At 39.5% G+C, this 21,117-nt stretch overlaps 1 protein-coding gene across 14 annotated transcripts in view, besides 3 other annotated features; it reads right to left on the reverse strand.

Moving 5' to 3' along the window:
* The window catches only part of SGMS1 (sphingomyelin synthase 1), a 319,585-nt gene that overhangs the window by 97,862 nt on the left and 200,606 nt on the right, over window positions 1-21,117 (reverse strand). For 4 of the 14 annotated variants that reach the window (XM_005269675.2, XM_047424982.1, XM_047424980.1 and 1 more), the window contains exon 1: window positions 14,603-14,949. The exons of 9 other annotated variants lie outside the window; for them this stretch is intronic. The gene's annotated coding sequence lies outside the window, so the exon portion shown is untranslated. Of the gene's footprint in view, window positions 13,376-14,602; window positions 14,950-21,117 lie in introns of those variants that run through there. One more of the 14 variants, XM_047424978.1, reaches the window with a different exon arrangement.
* Window positions 3,698-4,491: an enhancer, noted in NCBI's record as "OCT4-NANOG-H3K27ac hESC enhancer chr10:52166919-52167712 (GRCh37/hg19 assembly coordinates)". NCBI's record gives its function as "activates a minimal SCP1, AML or CMV promoter by ChIP-STARR-seq in primed H9 embryonic stem cells {active_cell/tissue: H9 hESC(primed)}" and the evidence as "EXISTENCE:reporter gene assay evidence [ECO:0000049][PMID:30033119]".
* Window positions 6,519-7,019: an enhancer, noted in NCBI's record as "NANOG-H3K4me1 hESC enhancer chr10:52169740-52170240 (GRCh37/hg19 assembly coordinates)". NCBI's record gives its function as "activates a minimal SCP1, AML or CMV promoter by ChIP-STARR-seq in primed H9 embryonic stem cells {active_cell/tissue: H9 hESC(primed)}" and the evidence as "EXISTENCE:reporter gene assay evidence [ECO:0000049][PMID:30033119]".
* Window positions 14,700-14,979: a silencer, noted in NCBI's record as "silent region_2367". NCBI's record gives its function as "represses an Ori minimal core promoter by ATAC-STARR-seq in GM12878 lymphoblastoid cells {active_cell/tissue: GM12878}" and the evidence as "EXISTENCE:reporter gene assay evidence [ECO:0000049][PMID:35858748]".

Here is a 21,117-nt window from a genome sequence, read left to right on the forward strand (position 1 = left end):
GTGAATCTTCATTCGAGTTCTCTATTTCTGCTCATCCTCTGCTCTTGCTCTTCTTTGTCTTCATTCATTCATTCAACACATGGTGTTTCAAAAGCCAGATGCTACCCTAGGTGCTCAGGATACAGAAGTGAGCATTATCTACAACTCCTGGCTACCAGGAATGATCTCATCATGTGGCTAAATTCTGACGTTTCCAGACAAGGTTGTTCATAAGCTCACCTGCTCTTAAGAGGCTCAATACACTGATGAAGGTTTAGGCAAATACAGAGGGGAAGGACACCAACATCTAGTATGTCTTAAGAATAATTTTGCTGTAAGATAGTACAGGGTCTCCACAGGTATGGGACATGGTAGTGTCAGGTGGGATAACCTTTAGCCCCAAACTACAACTACTCAGGCCACAAAAACAGCAGAAAGTATGGCCAGATTTCCTCAACCCCTACCCTTCTTTTATTTCCTTTGTAAAAGAACATGTTTAATATTCCTTACACCAAAATAAAAATCTTTTTAATGGAAATCAAAAGATAGACGGTAACATGGGGGAAACAGGTATAATACATATGAAATAGGATGAATTTTCCTAATTTAAAATGAGCTCATACAAGTCAATATGATAAAGACAAGAAGACACAAGGGCAAAAGGAAGGAAAAAGAGGGAGAAAGAGGAAGAAGAAAGCACATGAGTGAGCAGTTTACAGAAAGAAACTCACAATGGACCTATGAAAAGATCCTCACCCAGAGGGAAAGTAAATTTTTAACTTACCAGATTGGCAAAAATGTTAAAACTTGGTGAATGAAAAATGTTGATGGAAGCGTGGGAAAGACATAATCTTGTTTTGTTTTGTTTTGATTTTTTTTTTTTTTTTAAAAAGGCCAGGCTCACAGCTGTAAGCCCAGTGCTTTGAGAGTCTGATGTGGGAGAACTGCCTGAGGCCAAGAGTATGTGACCAGCTTGAGAAACACAGTGAGACCCCCATCTCTATAGAAAATACAAAAAACTAGGTGGGCATCGTGGTGCATGCCTGTGGTCCTAGCTACTTGGGAGGAGCGAGCATTGCTTGAGCCCACGAGTTTGAGGTTGCAATAAGCTATGATTGTGCCACTGCATTGCAGTCTGGGTGAAGAGCGAGACCCTGTCTCGAAAAAACAAACAATCAGTGACCTTTCCAGAGAAGAATTTGGTGATGTTTATCAAAATTTGAAATGTATTTTCCCACTGATGTAGCAATCCCACTCACAGGAATTTACCCTACAGGTATGTCAGCAAGATATTTATACGAAAATATTTACAGAAAGGCAGACTGCAATAAATCCAATAGCTAAACACAATCCCCCCAATGGCAACTATTAAAACATCCAGAAAAAAGGCAAAAATAAAATCAATTATTATACACCCATAAAATAAAATATTGTACCATCATTAAAGTGAATAAAGAAGATCTGTATGTGTTGACAGGAATATATCTCAAAAATAGGTAAAGTACAAAGAAAAAGCTAAGGAACGGTATGTATATTAATCCCTTTATTAAAAATGTAAAAAGCCAAAAGCAAGATAGACGCAGATATGTGCCAAAATATGTATTTTTTTTTCCTGGAACAAATCACAAGAAATGTAATAACAGTTACAGTGAGAGGAGCCTTTGACATCTCTTTCTAAACTATTTGATATCATTTGTATACTAACGATGTACATGCACCATTTTTACTTATTTTCATATTTTAACCATATCCTTTCTTTTACACTCTGTTCCTCAACAAAACCTAATTAAAAAAAATAAAACCAGAAAATTTAAAGCATTTATAATAAACCTCAACATCTGAAAATCCCAAAATATATTTACCAAATCAAAGGCTTTTCAGGAGAGTTCTGAGGAAGAAAAAATACAGCAAAATAAGAGACAAAGTAGAGAAAAAGGGGGCAATGCAGATGGAGATAGATCGAGTATCAACTCAGGTTCAAGGACAAGGCTGAGTATTTCTCCCTTTCTAATGTTTTAAACAAACTGATAAATTATGCATTGCATGGTGTATAGAGCAAGAAGCCACAAAAAATTAGCAGTTTACAGTTGTAGAATGTGGAAAACAACTGAGAAGAAAAATCTTTGAAAAGCTCTTCTGGAAGAACTATCCCAATTCATGAAAAGCAGTAAAGAAACACCCTCACAAATGAAAGAAAAATCCTACCATGTACAAATAAAATATACTAGAATGTATTATGAAATCTTTTGGCAAATATTTATAATTCTTGAGATAAAATCCCAAATTGAATTATTTCACATGCAACTATAATTCTAGGTTATGCTACATATCTTCATAGGCATTAAACAAAAGCCTGGAATGTCATTTAGCTGAATGTCATTTCAAAAATGTGGCTCCAACTCATTAATATTCATGTATTTATCCAAGGTTTAAGAGATGAACAGTAAAACTAAAATACTTAATCCTCAAAAGTCCCCTAGTGATGTCACTATGAATAGCACAGGTAATAAAACCACAAAAATGTGAGCATTCTAAGGAAAATGATGAAGTACTACTGGAAGGAAAACCCCACCTAAATATATATATACACACACACATACACATACATGTGCAATTACCTTGTTGAAAAAAATAATAATAAAGGCTCTGAGAAGAAGGGTGGTCTTGTTTTTCTCCCTGTGTCAGTTATCAATTTACTGCCTCTCAGCTACAAATTCACCATTTACAGCCTGATTTGCAAAAGGGGATCTGAGCCCTGTAAGTATTTTCCATTTGCTAGCTGACATGATGTTTGTTAATTTTTGTCTGTAGAAAATGCTAGAGAGACATTGTAGGAAGGAGTTTTGCTTCCTGGTCTGATCAGGAGTCACATCAGACTCCTGTCGGATGTGCAGCTTCTCCAAAGCCTGTCTCAAACAGTTTTTAGCAGAGTGCCTCCAGTAGATATCCGCCCATGAATAGCTTTCCCTGGGACCATGAAGGATGGATTTTCAGCAAGTTCTGGAAGGCAGATTTTTAGTAAGTTTTGCTGGTGTGGCACTACAGCAACTGCTCTGCCATGCAGTGAATCAAGGACGTGTCCTCTCCAACAAGGTCTGGATCTCAGCTCTGAGAGGGGGTAGGAAGTTGGTCTCTTCCTTGGATCCTCTATCTCAGCCATTGGAGTAGTAGATGCTACCTATATCTGCTATTTCTATAGAGTTCTGTTTACTTTTTATTAGCCAATCTTATCATTGCTCCAATCCTTTGTTATAGCTATAATTCTTTTTTTTTTTTTCTTCAGAGATAGGGTCTTCCTCTATCACCCAGGCTGGAGTGCAGTGGTGTGATCCTAGCTCACTGCAGCCTTGTCCCCTTGGGCTTAAGAGACACTCCCACCTCAGCCTCCCAGGCAGCTAGGGCTACAGGCATGCATCACCACACCTAGGTAATTTTTTTGTTTGTTTGTTTGTTTTTATAGAGACAGTGTCTTGCTATGTTGCCCAGGCAGGTCCTGCGCTCCTGGCCTCAAGTAATCTTCCTGCCTTGGCCTCCCAAAGCAGTGCTGGGATTACAGGTATGAACTACCTCACCTGGCCCTAATAAGTCTTAATATTAAACTTTCCTTGTTTAAACTACTATGCAGTTTCTGCTCCCAGACTGAACTGATGATATACTCCCTTTACTAGTAGCATTTCTGCAGTAGGCCCAGTGGCAACGTGCACAAGTAAAAGAGCAAGAATTAGCATTTTTCCAGTTCTGTCCCTATCATGGCTTAAACTGTTTAACCTCTCTGGATTTGCTAAGTGATATATCATAGAATGTGCCGATAAAAATCTAGGTGAAGAAGTGGTTAATCCTCAAAAGTCCCCTAGTGATGTCACTATGAATAGCACAGGTAATAAAACCACAAAAATGTGAGCATTCTAAGGAAAATGATGAAGTACTACATTTTCTGTATAGAAATTCTGTATTTCTACAATTTCTGTATAAGAATTCTGTCTGCCTAACCCGAGAAAGGGAGAAGCCACCAGGAGCACTTCTCACCTTATTTTCTGTTGATATCTTTGATATCCTTTCTGGTCTCAGCTCCTATCCACCCTGACCTCCAAACGGCCTCCTCCAATTGTCCCTTCAACCTGGGGTTGGTAATGACTTCCTGCCATTGCATCACCTGTGGAAGTAACTTTACCGCATTCCCCCCGCCGTAAATAAGAGTGGCTTTTTTTTCCCCCTGCTAAGCTCTGACTAACCAGTTACAATAGAATGGGTGCCTATACACATGCTAAAGATTCACTGTGTCTACTCTTGAAAGCCATCATGTACTTCTAGGATTCAAAGTTTAAACCTGAGGAAAACTAAAATAATATACCTTTGTTTGGCCTAAAAGAGCCAGTTAAACCCCTGAAATATTTTGATTTATAGAGGACTTGCTTGAAAATGGATCCAGCGCCTTAATATCTATTTTTTTTAAGGCTGAACTTTTGGCTGAATCATTTTCCCTAAATTTGTATCTAAATATCAAAAAATTCATTTAAAAAAAGCTTCCTTTAGACAGTGTATATAGCACAGTGCTGTCCAGTAGAGCTTTCTGAGATGATGGAATGGTTCTGTATCTGTTCTACATAATATGATAGCCACTAACCACATATGTAGCTATTGAGCACTTGAAATGTGTTAGGTCCAACTAAGATTATTAATTTAAATATTCGCATGTGGCTAGTGCCTATTGTATTGGACATCAAAGGTCTGGCATATGGTCCTCTGTAATCTGAGGAAGGCCTTCTGCTGCTGGTGGTGTTCTTGTATGCTTTGGCAGGGAACAAGTAGGTATAGAGAAAAGCAACATAGAAATACTAGCCCTTTTATTCATTCTAGTCACAGTTTAAAAACATTATAACTGGCAGGTGCAGTGGCTCACGCCTGTAATCCCAATACTCTGGGAGGCAAAGGTAGAAGGAATGATTGAGCCCAGAGACCAGCCTGGGCAATATACTGAGACCTCATCTCTTAAAAAAAAAAAAAAAAAAAAAAAACAAAATAAAAACTTTTTTTAATTAGCGAGGCTCCTGGCTAACACGGTGAAACCCCATCTCTACTAAAAATACAAAAAATTAGCTGGGTGTGGTGGCACGCACCTGTAGTCCCAGCTACTCAGGAGGCTGAGGCAGGAGAATCGCTTGAACCTGGGAGGCAGAGGTTGCAGTGAGCTGAGATCACACCACTGTACTTCAGCCTGGGTGACAGAGTGAGACTCCATTTAAAAAAAAAATAGCAGGGCATGGTGGTGCATGCCTGTAGTCCCAGCTACTGGGGTGCGTCTCAAGTATCCCAGCTATTGGGTCGGGGGGGCAGTTGAGGCAGGAGAATCATTTGAGCTTGGGAGTTCATGCTGCAGTAAGCCATGATTGTACCATCGCACTCCAGCATGGCTGACAGAGCGAGACTCTATCTCAAAACAAAACAAAACAAAAAAAGATTATAACAACCCCTAGCCTGCCTGACCTCCCTCCTGCTACTGGCTACAAACATGGACATATAACTTACTCAGATAACTTAGTTAACAAATTCTTAGGGAATAAAATCCATTCATTTTATTCATATAGATTAGAGTCCAGACCCAGTAGTGAGAGGCACTCACTTTGGAAAGAGGTAATGTTAGAATTATTGCTTTATTTTTCCTTTTCTTTTTATTTTATTGATACACAATATTTGCACATATTTATGGGGTACATGTGATAGTTTTTGCATGCATAGACTGTGATGATCAACTCAAAGTATTTGAGATATCCATGACCTCCAGTATTTATTATTTCCATGTGCTGGGAACATTTCAAGTCCTCTCACCTAGCTACATCAAAATATACAATACATTGTTGTTAACTATAGTCACCCTACTCTGCTATCAAACACAAAAACTTATTCTAACTGGATGTTTCTGTTTTTCCTATTCTTCAACCTCGCTGGATATAATCCCATTTATTCCCTGAACTGTTCCTGTCCATTCCATACTCTTTTCCCAAAAGGATTCCTCTACAGTCTTCCCAAGACCATATGGTTTTCATACAACATATCTCTATGTACCCTGGCACTACTGAAACTGTGACAGACATTCCCTTTGAAGTAGACTGTGATGACTAGTTTGTCAGTTACAAACATTTAATTTCATATCTCTGACCTTTACTTGGACATAATCAAAATAAATGACAACAGATTTCTCAATTCTCCTGAGAATTTTGCTCCTAAAAGTAAATGCTAAATATTAGCAATAGATAACTTCAGGAAACTCTTTCGATATATCAACGGGAATATAAGACTATAAAGAGGACAATTATATAGGAACAGATAACTTCAGGAAACTCTTTCAATATATCAACGGGAATATAAGAATATAAAAAGGACAATTATATAGGAAAGTACCACAGGCTCTGGAACCCAAAATGCCTAAGAAACTATATACAGCCTATTATCCTGAGAACCAAATGAAAGTATATTTCATAAGTCTACAAGAATTTTAACAATATAAAATCACACTGAAAAATTCTGTGAAATTTTGTCTATGAACTGCTTTGGGTGAAAATTTCTGTAGTTGTTTAGTAATCTGTGCAATTTAAATGAGAATTATAGGACACACTAACTAGCAAAGTAGGAATTAGTTTACCTTGTAATTTTAACAATGTACTCTAGTTTCTTTTACTCGTTTACATGAGTCACTCACAGAACAGAACACCACATTTCCCACATGAATAAGCACTCAATGACATTCATTTTTCTTCTCAACGTTTTCTAAATTGCAATAAAAAAGATAATAATATTATGATGGTCATGACACTCTTGTGTTGCAAGTCAGATAGGAAAGGGCATTCAAGGTGAAGACAAGCAAACCTGGGGAAGCCAGCTGGTCCTTAGAGTGCAGTGTTATCTGGGGAGACTCACATAGTCCAAGGCTGTCCTTTAGTCTTGCAAATTTATAAATACAATGATCAGAAAAGCATTCATACTGACCACACTTGTGGTGACATTAAAGTAAAAACTCGAGCTGAATACCTTATTGTGAGAATGTAAACCATCAGGTGGGTTGTTTGCTGGCATGTCTGATGGCAGATCTCTGAAAAGCATAGTTACATGAAGTGGCCAAATTACCATGAGAAGGATGCATAGTGGGCATGGAACAAAAATATGTTCTGTGTCTTCCTGTGTGGCCTGACACTGTGCACTGTGAGGTTAAGGAGGACTCAGCGGTATTCACCGATGAGGGCAAGACCAATCTCTAATTCAGATTTGGAACTTAGGCAGATTTCAAAAGCCCTCAGACAGCCCCACCATAGGGGAAGACCCATATGGAGACCTGGTAATGCCGCCCTAGGGGTAAGGCACCTTCTCTGTAGCTAGGCCAAGTTGGCCTCTCAAATTCAGTCTCCCATCCCAGTCTTCAAGTTCTACTTCTCTAAATTCCTCTTCAGACAATTTCCCTCTCAGAATAACATGTTAGTTCCTTTAATCAAGTTATAGTTCTATAACCAAGTTATGGTCTCTTGTTGTATGTTTGCTGTGATACATTCATTATAGGTTAGTTTAATAATTTCTTTTGGAGTCAGGTCTTTCTTTCCAAATTGAGAAGAGGGAAAGGTATATATAGTACACATACTATTACCTGAGGGCCCTCATGTATGGCATATACACCATACTCGTGGTAGAAGCCAATAATTCCAGTGAAATGAAAGCTTTGGAATTTCAAGGAAGAAGGAGGGACCTCTTGAAAAAACAAATGAATAAACCTATAACCACACTCTGTATTTAAAGAATTCATTGAATGCCAAGCTTAAACTCTTTAAAAAATACAAGCTAATAGACCTATGGTGTGGATAATGAGGCATATTGTTCCACTCCACCTTGACTTAAATCTGTTTGTTCCTTTATGTCTAGGACGTGTTTGAGCCTTTTGGTGAGACCCTTGCTTCAAAAGGGGGGAAAAAAACAATTCTATTTTTACATCTGTTAACTCAGCACAAGTCTAGAACTTGGGATTTTGGTACCAATTACTGCAAAATTACAAGTTGATGCCCAGGAGCCTTGTAAATACACAATCAGCTTTCAAACATTTTCAGCAACACTTCCTGCAGTGCGTGGTAATTTCTAGTCTCATCCATATCTGAGAAATCAAAGTGACAGAATGCACCTAAAGTGGATAAATTGTTTTATGGGGTCTCAAGAATTGTGGTCACTGGTTCCACCTGAAATTTTAAACTGCCTAGTCTTTCTTTTAGTTTATTTATTATCAGCTTGACTTTCAGTTTGGTTTGAGTATCAAACTCTCCGCTTCTGACCCCATAGAACTATGCAATTTTGTATCACCAGTTCAGGATTCTCTGTTAGGATCACCAGGTTTCTTTGCCAATACTGCTTACCCAGCAACTCAGGGGCGGCTTGAGGCCATCAGAGTCTGGAACACCACCGTCTACTTCTGTATGATAAGGAAAGTTAATTAAACTTGAAAGTTAGCTTAATGAAGGCCTCTAAGCACTAGCAGGGCTTAGTCTATGTTAGTAATTTCTGAGAAGTATGTTTTCATCTGTGCGCCAGTCACATTTCACATGCCCCTTATGCTGGAACTGCTGTGCTCCCCTTGGGCAGCCACCACCTGAGAGGGATGAGCTGGCTGTGAATTGTCCCAATGATGTGAGGGGACAGATTTCCTTCCAGATACCCATAGAGAGGCAAGCTGCTGGGGGCAGAGGGTACTAACACTCACTCCACTAGAGGATTCAAGTCACATGTTTATGTGAGGTTTACACAATTCAATGCAATAGGGACACTGAGAAAGAAAATCAAGACCACTTTTCAAAAAAATTCCTAACTTCAATTCTCCAAACTGAAAAAGCGCCTCTTCCTAAGCCATGGAACTTTTCATTGCTGGACCTCTTATTGCCATCTCCCTGGAAAATTAACAGAAATGCAAAACAGTCTGCCTTTATAAGGTAGACAACAGACGGATTGTGAATACTCTGAAATCTTCCCATCCAACCCCTATCACCTACAAAAATTCACACCATTAAGTCAAATACATACAATGCCAATGGCTCTTACGGATAAGCTACACACTGCTATAGCTTGCTTGATACACAAGTGGAAGTGACAGAAAGGGTGATCACATGAAAGCTTTATCTTTTCAGGCAAGGCTGAGAGGGTATAAGAAATCACTAAGATGACAAAATTGACACATTTGCACATACATTTGCTAGGTGTGCTGCTTACACCTTAAGGCATGGAAAAACATATTTAAGAGACATAATATCAAGAGTAAGATTAAAAAATAGAATTACACTGCTTAAGAACAAACATTACATGTTTTTATAGTGGAACAATTCACAAATGCAGAAGTTATATTATTGGCTAATTCCAGACTGATAAGAAATAGATGACTCTTGTTTTCCATGCAACTTATGCCTCCCTCTAATAAGTGCTTCTCACTTTAGTGCATATTCTTCATTCCCTACAAGGCCAAAGTGATATCTGTAAAGACATTTACTTCTCCTAAGATTTATCACCTTTGGAAAACAGGAGCCCTTTTATTTTTAATATTTTAACTATTAAAAAATCTAACTTCCTTATATATCCTCCTTCCAAATCTTACATTTTAAAAAGCATCAGTCAATTCTATTAACCTGGAAAATGTAAATTTGAAAAAAAAAGTTATCTCTTGTGACTGTGCCTAAGGACTGTGCTACATAATTTACATGTATATCTTGTTTATTCCTCTAAGCCCTATGAAATAGAGATTTGGTTTTCACAGATAAAGAAACTTGCCCCAAATCACACAGCAAGTTAAACTGGCAGGGCTGAGATTCCAGCAAAGGTGTATCTGACTCTCAAACCACGATAATATATTCCTCCAGGAAACAAAGCAAATATTTCACCGTGCTGCTGATGATAAAATGTGTACACTGTATACACTTGCAGATTTCAGCATACATTAACTCTCAAAGGCCTTTTATAAACATACTGTTAAAGCTACTTGGTGATTTCGTTAAAGCAAAGATTGGCATTCAAATGTCAGAAACAGAAATACATACATTGAACTTGTAAGCCAGGATTTCTCGACCATAACACTACTGACATTTTGGACAGGATAACTCTTTGCTGTGGGGCCTCTGTCCTGTGCACTGTAGGATGTTTAGCAGTATCCATGGCAGTATCCACTAAGTGCCACTAGCACACCTCCCCAACCCCAGCTGTGACAATCAAAAACGTGTCCAAATATACCAAATTTTCCCTGGGGGTTTAAAATTGCACCCTGCAGAGAACCATTGAGTTAAGCTAATCACCCAAGATCATAACAACTGGTTGAAGACTGTACTGATCTGATTTGGACTGGAGATAAGAAAGAGGTCTCCTAAAACCTAGTTTAGTGAAGATTTCTCATACACCAAACTATAGCTCCTTAACAGAAAGCACTTATTAAACTGGACAAAATGTACAGACTTCAAAATGTGACCATCTCTCTTTTACCACATTGGTAATAGTAAATAAATATAAAGTATCATTTCTCAGCTTAAAAGTTTTTAATTTTTTAATTTTTTTTCTGTGGACCTCATCTGATTGAAAGTCTCTCAGCTTTTACACTAAGGTGAAGACGCCTATTGTTTTTGGACCACTGTTCAAATAACAGTTACTAGACACTCTCCAAAACCTAATTACAGCCAGGCACAGTGGTTCACACCTGTCATCCCAGCACTTTGAGAGGCTGAGGTAGAAGCATTGCTTGAGTCCACAAGTTTGAGTTCGAGACCAACCTAGGCAACACAGTGAGACCTTGTCTCTGCAAAATATTAAAAAATTAGCCAGGCATGGTGGCACACCTGTAGTCTCAGCTACTCAGCAGGCTGAGGTGGGAAGACTGCTTGAGGTTGCAGTGAGTCGAGATCATGATGCTGCACTCCAGCCTGGGCAACAGAGCAAGACTCTGCCTGAAAAAACAACAACTAACCTATTTACCACATTCTGGATATGTGTTTAAACACAAACCCAGAAATGTGCATAATATTGCCTGAAGTAGTAGTAGTGACAGTAGTTAACAGCAGCAACAACAGAAGACTAGGATCTAATATATACAATTTACTATCCGATTCTGCTTTAAGCACTTTACATGGATTATATAATTTAATCCTTCAACATCTTCAACAGCCCTCTAAGGTAGGTATTATTACTATTATTTGTATTTTATGAATGAAGAAATAGAGGCATAAAGAACTCAAATAACTTGCCCAGAGTCTGGCTTTGGAGTCTCTATTCGTAACCACTATCTACAGTGCTTCAAAGAACGACGCAATTATCATCTCCTTGGTTCCAAATACCCTATCTCTTGTACTGTGTGAAGTTTTTCCCACCAGCTGTACCATATGCCTTTCTCAAGCGACACTATCGACACCTTGCTCAAGTCTGACATTACGCCACTGATCATCCCTCTTTGGGTAAAAGACCTAAACTCATTCATCTATACCGCTATCCAATCCATATTTTTCCATCTTGAGTAAAGAACACACGTAGCACGTTATTAAATGCTCTGATGCCGGCGCCTGTAGTCCCAGCTATTCAGGAGGCTGAGGCAGGAGAATGGCGTCAACCCGGGAGGCGGAGCTTGCAGTGAGCTGAGATCGCGCCACTGCACTCCAGCCTGGGTGACAGAGCGAGACTCCGTCTCAAAACATAACAAAACGAAATGTTCTGATGAAGCAGACATTGCATATCTATGGCAATGCCCTGATATACTTGTCCAGTAACATTATTAAAAAACAAATGAGGTTAATTGGACATGAATAATTCTTAGCAAACATACGCTACATACTGATCATCACTTTTATTTTTGTAAGTGATTCTGACCAATCTTTTAAAAAATGTGATCTACAATTCTGCTAGACACCAACGTAAGTTATGAATCTAAAGTTTTCGAATTTACCATTTCCCCATTTTTGAAAATGGACTCTGTGGCATGCTTCCCCCTCTCCATGACTTTTCCAAGATTACTCCCAAGTGGTTTTATCATCACACTGGCATGTTCTTTCAACATGCTCAAGAATTCAGGTCACTTAAAGCAGTTAGGATTTAGAGTGGCTTAAGGAAGTGGGTAGGTGTTCTGTGTCAACTAGATGGTGCAGGTGATGATGTGGGGCTGTCAGCAATGCCTAGTCCTGGAATATTTCATGGTATTTCATGGTCTTCGATGAAGGTGGCATTATTCTCTTGTATGATGATATGCCCACAGATGGACTCTCTCAGAAATGGATGCTCTGATCAGACACGCTGAGACTTTCTCACCTCCACATAACTAGTTTTAGCTCTCACAGAGTGTGCCTTTCATGAACTCACCATTCTTAAAACAGGTTCAACGCTAATCTAGGTGCTAACGTAAATTTAAAAATATTTCACTTAGCATATAAAATACTGCAGGTATGCACTCACAAACAGGGGATTCAACTAGAGAAAGCCTGAATAGCACTTGTGACACGCAAGAGGAAAATGCACACCCTGAATTAAAAGGTCTTCAGAAAAAAAGCAGAAGAAAGTTACCGGAGTTCAGCAACACTAAGGCGGCCATGTGCATTAACGAGCTCATTAAGAGTAGGGCTTTCTCAGTTAATATTTGAAAGCCGTAGCCTTCTAGAGTAAATGCATAATTCCTTGAACTTTGATAATTTGGCGCTGGGACAATGAGGCACTTTTAAATCACTTAAAAATCTGCTTTGAACCAAGAACCTCCTCTGGATCATTTTAAACAGAAAAATCAACACCATTTTAGGAGCAATTGGAGCCACATAGGAAAAATAACCAACCTTAAATGCTAACTTCCAACATAAACTAAATTAACTAGCTGTGAAATTTGGAGCAGGTAATATAACCTTACTGAGCCTGTTCTTCAACTATAAAACAGGGTCAAAAATACCTCCACCTCTTAGGACTATTGTGAAAACTAAATGAAGTAATGTATACAAAGCATCTCAGTGCCTGATAAAGGAGATCCTTAAATATTCAGCTTTTATACAACTATTAGGTGAAACTAATAAAATTCCAAATTTAATTATCTCTTTGGATTTGAGGCATCTTAGAGATATAATAAAATATTATCCCATTCTCACCACCTGAGGGGGCTTTTTCAACTGTCTCAGTGACTTGAGAACCGTGGGCTTAGGCCATTTCTCCCAAGTTTACATGCTATTTCTCAAAGAGGATTCTACACTGTTACCTTTTACACAGAGCCATTTGATCAGTTCAACTCGGAGCAAAAGGGCTTAACAATTAACCTATGAGCTTGAAAACAGTGTTACTAGGAGCTCATAGGGTAACTTAAAGTTTCTAACAAATTATTTTAATTATTCCATTTAGAAGTGGTTTCTTTCTAGGGAAGTTTCCTTTATAGAACTAAAAAAAAAAAAAAAAAAAAAGCCAGCTGCGAAGAATTTTCTTTCTCTCGCTAAAAAAAGCCAGCTGCAAAGAATTTTCTTCCTCTCTCCATGACAGTCTATCTTTTAACCTCATCACAGTCTCTATCTTCATAAATGCATGTGTAATGATGCTATTCGTGACTTGCTCATTCATATTCATAACTTCATAATTCAGTTTACAAGTCTTCCCACCATCCTTTATGTTACTGGGACGTCTTTAACCTGTCTTTCCTGTACGCAGTCAGTGTTTCTGATCATGATAACTTCCCTGTTGCATTGTGTATATCCTCAGTCGTCACAGGATTCCACTTTCCCTGTCCCCTACTTCCCCAAACTCTTGCAAGAAAATAAGTTACTTGGCATCATACAACTGCACTAATTTCTTATGTAGAAAAGCGGGTTTTTTAAGTGGCTCACTGGACTTATTTCTACATAAATTTAAAAGCGGTAACTCAATTGGATAAAAATGTTATGATAAATATTTGTAGCATTCAGGGTAACAGAATTTAGGTCTCCAGATTTCCTATTTTGGTATAACTACACAAAACAAACACAAAAATAAAATAAAATAAAATAAAATAAAATAAAATAAATGTCATGCATTCTTCTCCATGTATTTATTGACAAATTCCACAAGAGCGATTACCTGGCCACACTAAATAGAAAGCACAGTTATGGAGTAAACACACTCAGTCCAAAACACAGGGGCACGTGCATCCTTGTGGCACTTAGTACCAAGCTCATTCACAAGCCAGCTTCCAACCAACCAAAGGAGTTGCCAAAAGGGCTGTTTCGTACAGGGACTGGAGTTTGAGAAAGTGAGTACTTCCCCAAAACTTAATAACCAATCTGTAGACACAATCCCGTTCTCTCAAAAACTGCCATTAGGAAGACTTGATAACCCCAAACAGAAACCACCCCCTACCCTTGGTTCTCATGCCACGGCAGTTAGCATCACGCAATATAAAGAGCATTTGTTGACTGATCCTACCCATATCCTGACCCACTGCTTCAGCAACTGCACTGAACCTTCTCAGGTGTAAATAGCTAGTGCCTATTTGATCATTAAAGCAGGATGCAGGAAAAATAAAGATTTCCCTTTACTTCGCCGTAGTAGAATTGGCACTGATTGCGGTATTTTAATCGGTTCACACCGTCTGTTAGTGTATTCTAATGAACCACAGCATCTCCGGAGCAACACTTACGGTCTCTCGTCCCCGGAGGCAGTGTCTCCTGGAAAGTTCCTGGGGCACCAAGTTTGCGCGCGGCTCCTCGCGCTCAGGGTGCGCGCAGCCAGCCCTGGCGCGGGCGGAAAGGCGAGCGCGCTGAGCGGCGCGCAGACCCCGGGCGCGGCTCTTGCTGGGCGCCCGCGCCTTGATCGGTCCCGGCGGTCCCGTTCCCCTGCTTGCCGGGCCCTGGTGCTAGGACAGCGGCGCTGCGGAGCCCGGCGTCTGGAGCTGGCGGGCGGCCGGATGCGCCGATCCTCTCCCGGGGGGTCAACTGCGAGCTAGACGCCCAGCCGGACCTCAGAGGCTCCAAGAGCGGGGTTGGCGGGTGTGGCCCGGCAGCAGAGGGTTTTTGGAATGCAGGGTGTGGCCCTCTACCACGGCAAAAAAGAAATGAGTCAGCCCGTTCAGTCCTAACCAATAAGCATGTTCAGTGTCGGTTAAGGCGGAACTTTCCTTTCTTGATTTATACCAAGCTTAGAAGCCTTTCACAGCCTTTTCTTTACGCCTTTGACAACTTCGACACAACTTCTAGAAAAGGGTAGGTTGCCTTTGAAAACGCTTGGGAAACAAGGATTAATCTTACGAAAGATACTTCAGTGGATGTACATTAGTTTCGATTAGTAAAAGTTTTTGAGTTAGGCAGAGATACTGGGTGCAAAGAGGTGGGACCTGGTATCAAAGCAGATTTGGATCAGACCTCTGACACTGTGTGGCCTTGAGTAAGTTAATTATCATCAATGAGGGGGCTAAAATGCCCACCTAACAGTTTACAGATTACAACAGTCCCCCCATATGCAGTTTCTCTTTCTGCTGTGTCCGTTACCCCGCCCCTTCAGTTGCAGTCTGAAAATATTAAATGGAAAATTCTAGAAATAAGCAATGCATAAATTTTAAATTTCATGTCATTCTGAGATTGTTAAAATTGTTATATTTTATTATTAGTTACTGTTAATCTCTTACTGTGCCTAATTTATAAGTTAAACTTCACCATAGGTATGTATAGGAAAAATCATAGTATATATAGGGTTCAGGACCATCGAGATTTCAGGCATCCACTGGGGGCTTTGGAACATACATACCATCTGAAGATAAGGGGGGAACTACTGATTATGTAACAATGCATGCAAAGCATTTACCACAGTGCTGGACAAAGAGTAGGCACTCAAAAAATGCTGTCTTGTCCCTCTGAGTCCTGAATCCGAATCTCCAAAATTGTAAACAAACTGGCTCGTAATTTTCAAAAATTCTTTCCTATGTTAAATATCTAAAGAATTTTAGAGCTGAAATAGTTCTCTGGTATTCCCTGGTCTGAGTCCCTCATTTAAGTGGTGAGAAACTTAAGAAGCTTTAGGTTCAGGATTCTTGAATTTGGTATTCTTACTATACAATAGAAAGTTTATTGGTAGCAAATAGGCTTAAAATTGGAATGATTTCATTTAGGTCACAGGTGAACCTACTTTTAAAAAAGTAAGAGTGATTTGTGGAAATATTCCATCTGAGTCACTGTGCCCTAAACATTATTTTGTAATAAAAATACTTAAAAGAAACTTTATTTGGGAATTGGCAAATTACAGGGGGCTGCAGAAGTGCTAATTCCTGAGGTCCCATTAAGAAATGAGTTGATTGCTATTGCCAAAAGAGAATTTCTAGATGGGAAGAAAAAAATGTTAAGTTACAAATTAAACGTTCTTTGCTTTGGAGATCTCCTGAGCAAAGATCTCTTTGGAGATCTTTCTCATACATGTTTAGAGTCATTCCACAGGCCAAGGTTTCTTGAAAATACTCATTAGCCAAAGATAAGATCTAAAGTGAGATCAGCAAAATGCTGTTCTTTTCTCCAAAGCAGCACGGGAGAGTGGAAAGAACACTGCACAAAAAGCCAAGAGCTCCCTTCCTAGTCTCAGCTCTGCCAGTAAGTGACAGGGTGAACTGACTGCTTCATCTCTCTCTGAGGATCTCTAAGAGTGTTTCCAGTTGGAAACCAAACTATGGTCAAAAGAGCAGAAGCAAGATCGGCCTATAGCCTCACATTTATCCTTAGCAACAGGTACTTAAGTTGGGCCTGTCTCCTAGATGATGAAGCTGTCAAATCTCTCTTGACTCTCATATTCCTCATAAAGGTAATGTTACTCTCCTAGACACTTCAAGTTAAATTCTGGAATCATCTGAGCTCCCTCTTTTCTCTCTTAATGGTTCACTACCAATAGGCGTAACATGAAGGCTTCTTTCATATCTGGACCATTTTTTCCATTCCTGGTTCAGGCATTCGTCCCCTCTGCCTGAGTCACTGAGGTTGAGTGTCTTCTAGCCGCTGTTCCAGCAGGCGGGCCCCTCCCTCTATGCCTCTCAACACATCATCATCATCATCACATGACAAATGTCAAAGTCGAGCATGCCATCATGTCATAAACCTTTTCCTCTCAGTCAATTAAATAATTTTATAGTAGAGATCAAAAGGAACACAATTTGCTTTACGGGCAGCTTTCCTCAAACATTCATGTAAATTAATGTGTATTTTTAAGAGCACTGATATTTTATATTTATGTAATTGTTACAATGAGCTATACTGGCTGAACTGATAATATGTTGGCTATTATATCAAGGACAGCAGCTCTTTTACATGAGAAGACTACATAAAGCTTAAGTGTATATGAACAACTCCATAAACTTAACACTGCAGTCTAAAAAATACAATTGTGTTTGTGTGTGTGTGGACACAGAGAGATACTTTGAGATCTATGATGGAGAAAGGGAAAGGCAGCACAGACAGGAAAGAGAGATGATCTAGTTTGTTAGTATTGTTTAGGATCCAGCCAAGCTTAACATTCAGAGTAGGTGTTCTCTCCAGGAAGAAGGAAGGCTTCATAAATATGTTTGGCTGCAATCATAACTCAAAGCACTTGAAAGATGTTTCCAATAATCCTTATGCTTCAGAAATAAGAACAACACAATGACCAATGTGGTTAGAACATTCCCACAAGAGAACAGGATAACTGGTTCTAGGATGCCTTTGTTGTCTAAAATTAAAATTTAAAGTACACGGATTCTCAACATATAGTTATCAAAAAAAAGTGACGGTGAAACTACGGGTCCAGTGCCATGACATTTATAGGCACTCAAAGCCTTGCCTCTACCTCTGCAACCCCGATCTTAAAAACCCTCTGCCAAATAACCCGCTGGTCCACTCCTTGTTCCCCTAAAGCTGAGGGCACATTACTACCACCATACCTAGGGATAGTGAGTGCTTACCATTTTATGTTGCCTTGACATCCACTTTAAATATAGGTTTAACTTTCTCAGAATCAGGGCTCAGTCACCCTTGACAGTTTCAAATTCCATTCCCCACCTGAATGGCTCCCACTGGTGGCAGGAAATAAAACTGAAGAGACCCAAGTCCTGCCTAGCAGGCTGGGCTCCTCACTTTCCCACCACTTCCTTAAACAGACCGTTCAGACATTTGCTTGCAAATTTAAACTGACCACCTCTCAGTCACAACAGGACCTCCTGGAACTAGCACCTGCTTGCTTTAAACCTACCAATTAAAGCTCCCCTTAGGAAACATATTTGGATAACACACTGGACCCTAATAAGATGGTGGCCCATGGGTCTCTTTATCTCTGCCTGTGCTCCCTGGCCTATGTAGTGGAGACGGTGGGGGCCTCCGAGTGTGCCATGTACACTCGAGGGTCTAAAAATTCTTAACTTTCACATTGTAGTTGGGAGCCATGCTCATCCCTGGTGGAGAGGCTGCCCCAAAGGGACCCATGCAGGTGGCTCCCATGTTGGTGCTCTTTAGTCCAGGCCTCTCAGCTGCTGGGTGGTTACCAGCTAAGGTGACAGAGTTTCATTCAAAGCACTAGGCTCACACCATGCCCCCTGCCTGACAACCTTCTTGCATTCTTTTTAGTACATATCCCATTCCAGACCACTGAAACCCTTTCTTCTCCTAGAACTTTTGTCACTGGCAAAAGCCCTGGGGAATCTCTCCTCTCCTCCAAATACCTACAGATCTTATTCTTTATACTTCCATTTCACAACTAACATAGGATCTTAGCATCCTTCCTTCTTTTTGAGATCCCTGACCTTTCACTCTCAGCAGACAGTGGAAATCCATCTGAGGTAGACGTGTTTCCGAGCATCTGTATCCCCCAGGGCCTAGCAGATTCTGCATAAATAGTCATTGTTGTGAATATAATGATGCTTAAGTTATATAACAGCCACAAAGGAGAAAAGAAAACGTTCCCTTTGACTGCTGACACATCAAGAATAAACAAATATTATAGCTGTTCAAACCAGTTGGCAAGCAGAACCCAAGCAGCAGATGCGTTTCTGTGCTCTTTGTGGCATGTTCCAACAATACAGAATGCTACTGAGACAGCAAATCTGATACTTCCTAAAAGGAAGTGGAGTTTACAAAACAGAGTTTTCATGTAAAATCCCAGTTCCCCAAACACGAATCCACTGTGGAGAACAGAAGCAACAAGTCATTCGATCTTCCCTTTCAAGTAAGGAACACATAGATACATATTTGATAATCTTGCCAAAGTACCAATTCCTCCTTAAATGTAAACATCACTCTCAACCACAAACATCTATTTACCAACAGGTGCTCCTAACCATAATGGTAGCAAAGGACAGTTCTTCAAGACAATTCATAAATCCTAGAACTGTCATAGGTATACATTTATTATATGGCATTTGCATTATATGACATCATAGGTATATAAAAGTTTTACATTTGCATTAGAGCAAGCCTCTGTCAAAAGAGCCGTTACCACCCGCACACACATTCATTCACTGGTATCCTTTGATTAGCATTAGCATATTTCTGCTTTGATGACAGATGGGGAAAAAAACACTACCACTGTTCTCAAAAGGCTGTGTCTGTCCTGCTATGCAACTAAATACTTTATTAAAATTGCCCATGACAAAAGCACTGACTTTCTAAATAACTACTCCAAGTATAAACAAGCAAATGAATTAGTCAGCAGTGTTTAACTTGCAGGTAACAAAAATGGCACTTGAGGCATCACAGGCAAAAGCAAGGTGAGCCACATTGGCTCTAAATATCCCAGCAACGGGAAAGCCACAGGGGCAGCTGGGCACTAGGATCAGCTCAACACGAATTGCACCAGGACAAGATAGCATCTTTGCTTCTGGTGTTTTATCATTGGCTTTATTCTTCATTCCTAAAGTGTGCCTTTTCCCACTTAATTTAGCTCTGCATCCAAGAGAGACAATTCCTCCTTTCACAGTTGTAATTTTAAAAATTGCCAGAAAAACTCACTGGTCCAGTTTGGGGCCATGTACCCATACAGACTGGCTGGTCTATACTAGGACCACCTGGTTGGATTGGTGAGAGGAGCAGTAAGTTCTCTAGAAGAAAACGGGTTTAATTCTCAGAAGCAGAAGGAAGGTCTGGTTTGCCCCAAACACATCATCACCTATCAAGAAATTCCAAGCCATCCTCAACCAGGTAATAAATTACATTCTAAAAGTTCACTTCTAGAGTCAAAAGTCAATGAACTCTTCTTAGACAAGGTGGCATGGGAAAAAAAAAAACTAAGTGCACGAACTCTTATATAACACTTGGAATACATTTCACTTGACACAAGATGTCTCTAGCGTAGAGGCCAGCTTCTCTGGCCAGTCCTTAAAAACCTGTTTAACTCATAATTTAATGAAATTATATGTCAATGAAATATAATGCTGAATAATATTTCTAATACTGTACTCAAACTCCATTCATGACATTGTTCCTAAAGGAAAATGTATTTGAAATTCCATTTAGAACAAGAAAAACATGCTCAATTTAATCCATTTACCGAGTACCTACTAATGACAGCAGCTTTCATTTCATACACATTATTTTACATTTAATCCACATACAACACTGCAAGGCAGATATTAACAACTACACTGAACGCGCAAAGAAACAGGGAGTCAAGAATGCTATATATGTCCAAGGTAAATCATCAAGACAAGTCAGAGCCAGCTGTACAGCCATGTTTGTCTGACCTGAAAGCTGGGACTATTGTGTCTAATACAAAGAGCAGCTAGATAGGGGTGGGCTCACAGATGAGAAGATTGAGAGCGAATGTATCAGACTCCATGTAAATACCTAAAACGTGAAGGAACTAGAGGGCAGTCACAGTCACTAGCCAGATTTAACTTTCTATTTCTTAAAAGAAGGTACTTCTCTATGGCTGAATAAAGAAAAATATTTCTCTAGGTAGGCTTTAAGCTACCTGATGCTTGTACTTACATGAAGATCATTTGAAAATCAATGATTTATCAATAGTATCTTCATAAAAAGTGTCTTTTGCCTGTTAAAAAAAGAAGGTACTATCTATATTAAAATACCTGTCTAAAGTGTTTTAACCTAGGAAATATCCTGGACATCGGCCTTGGCAAGGAATTTATGACTAAGTCCTCAAAAGCAATTGCAACAAAAGCAAAAGTTGACAAGTGAGAACTAATTAAAGAGCTTC

This window comes from Homo sapiens, chromosome 10 (assembly GCF_000001405.40).
Source record: "Homo sapiens chromosome 10, GRCh38.p14 Primary Assembly".
In the NCBI taxonomy this organism is placed as follows: Eukaryota; Metazoa; Chordata; class Mammalia; order Primates; family Hominidae; genus Homo; species Homo sapiens.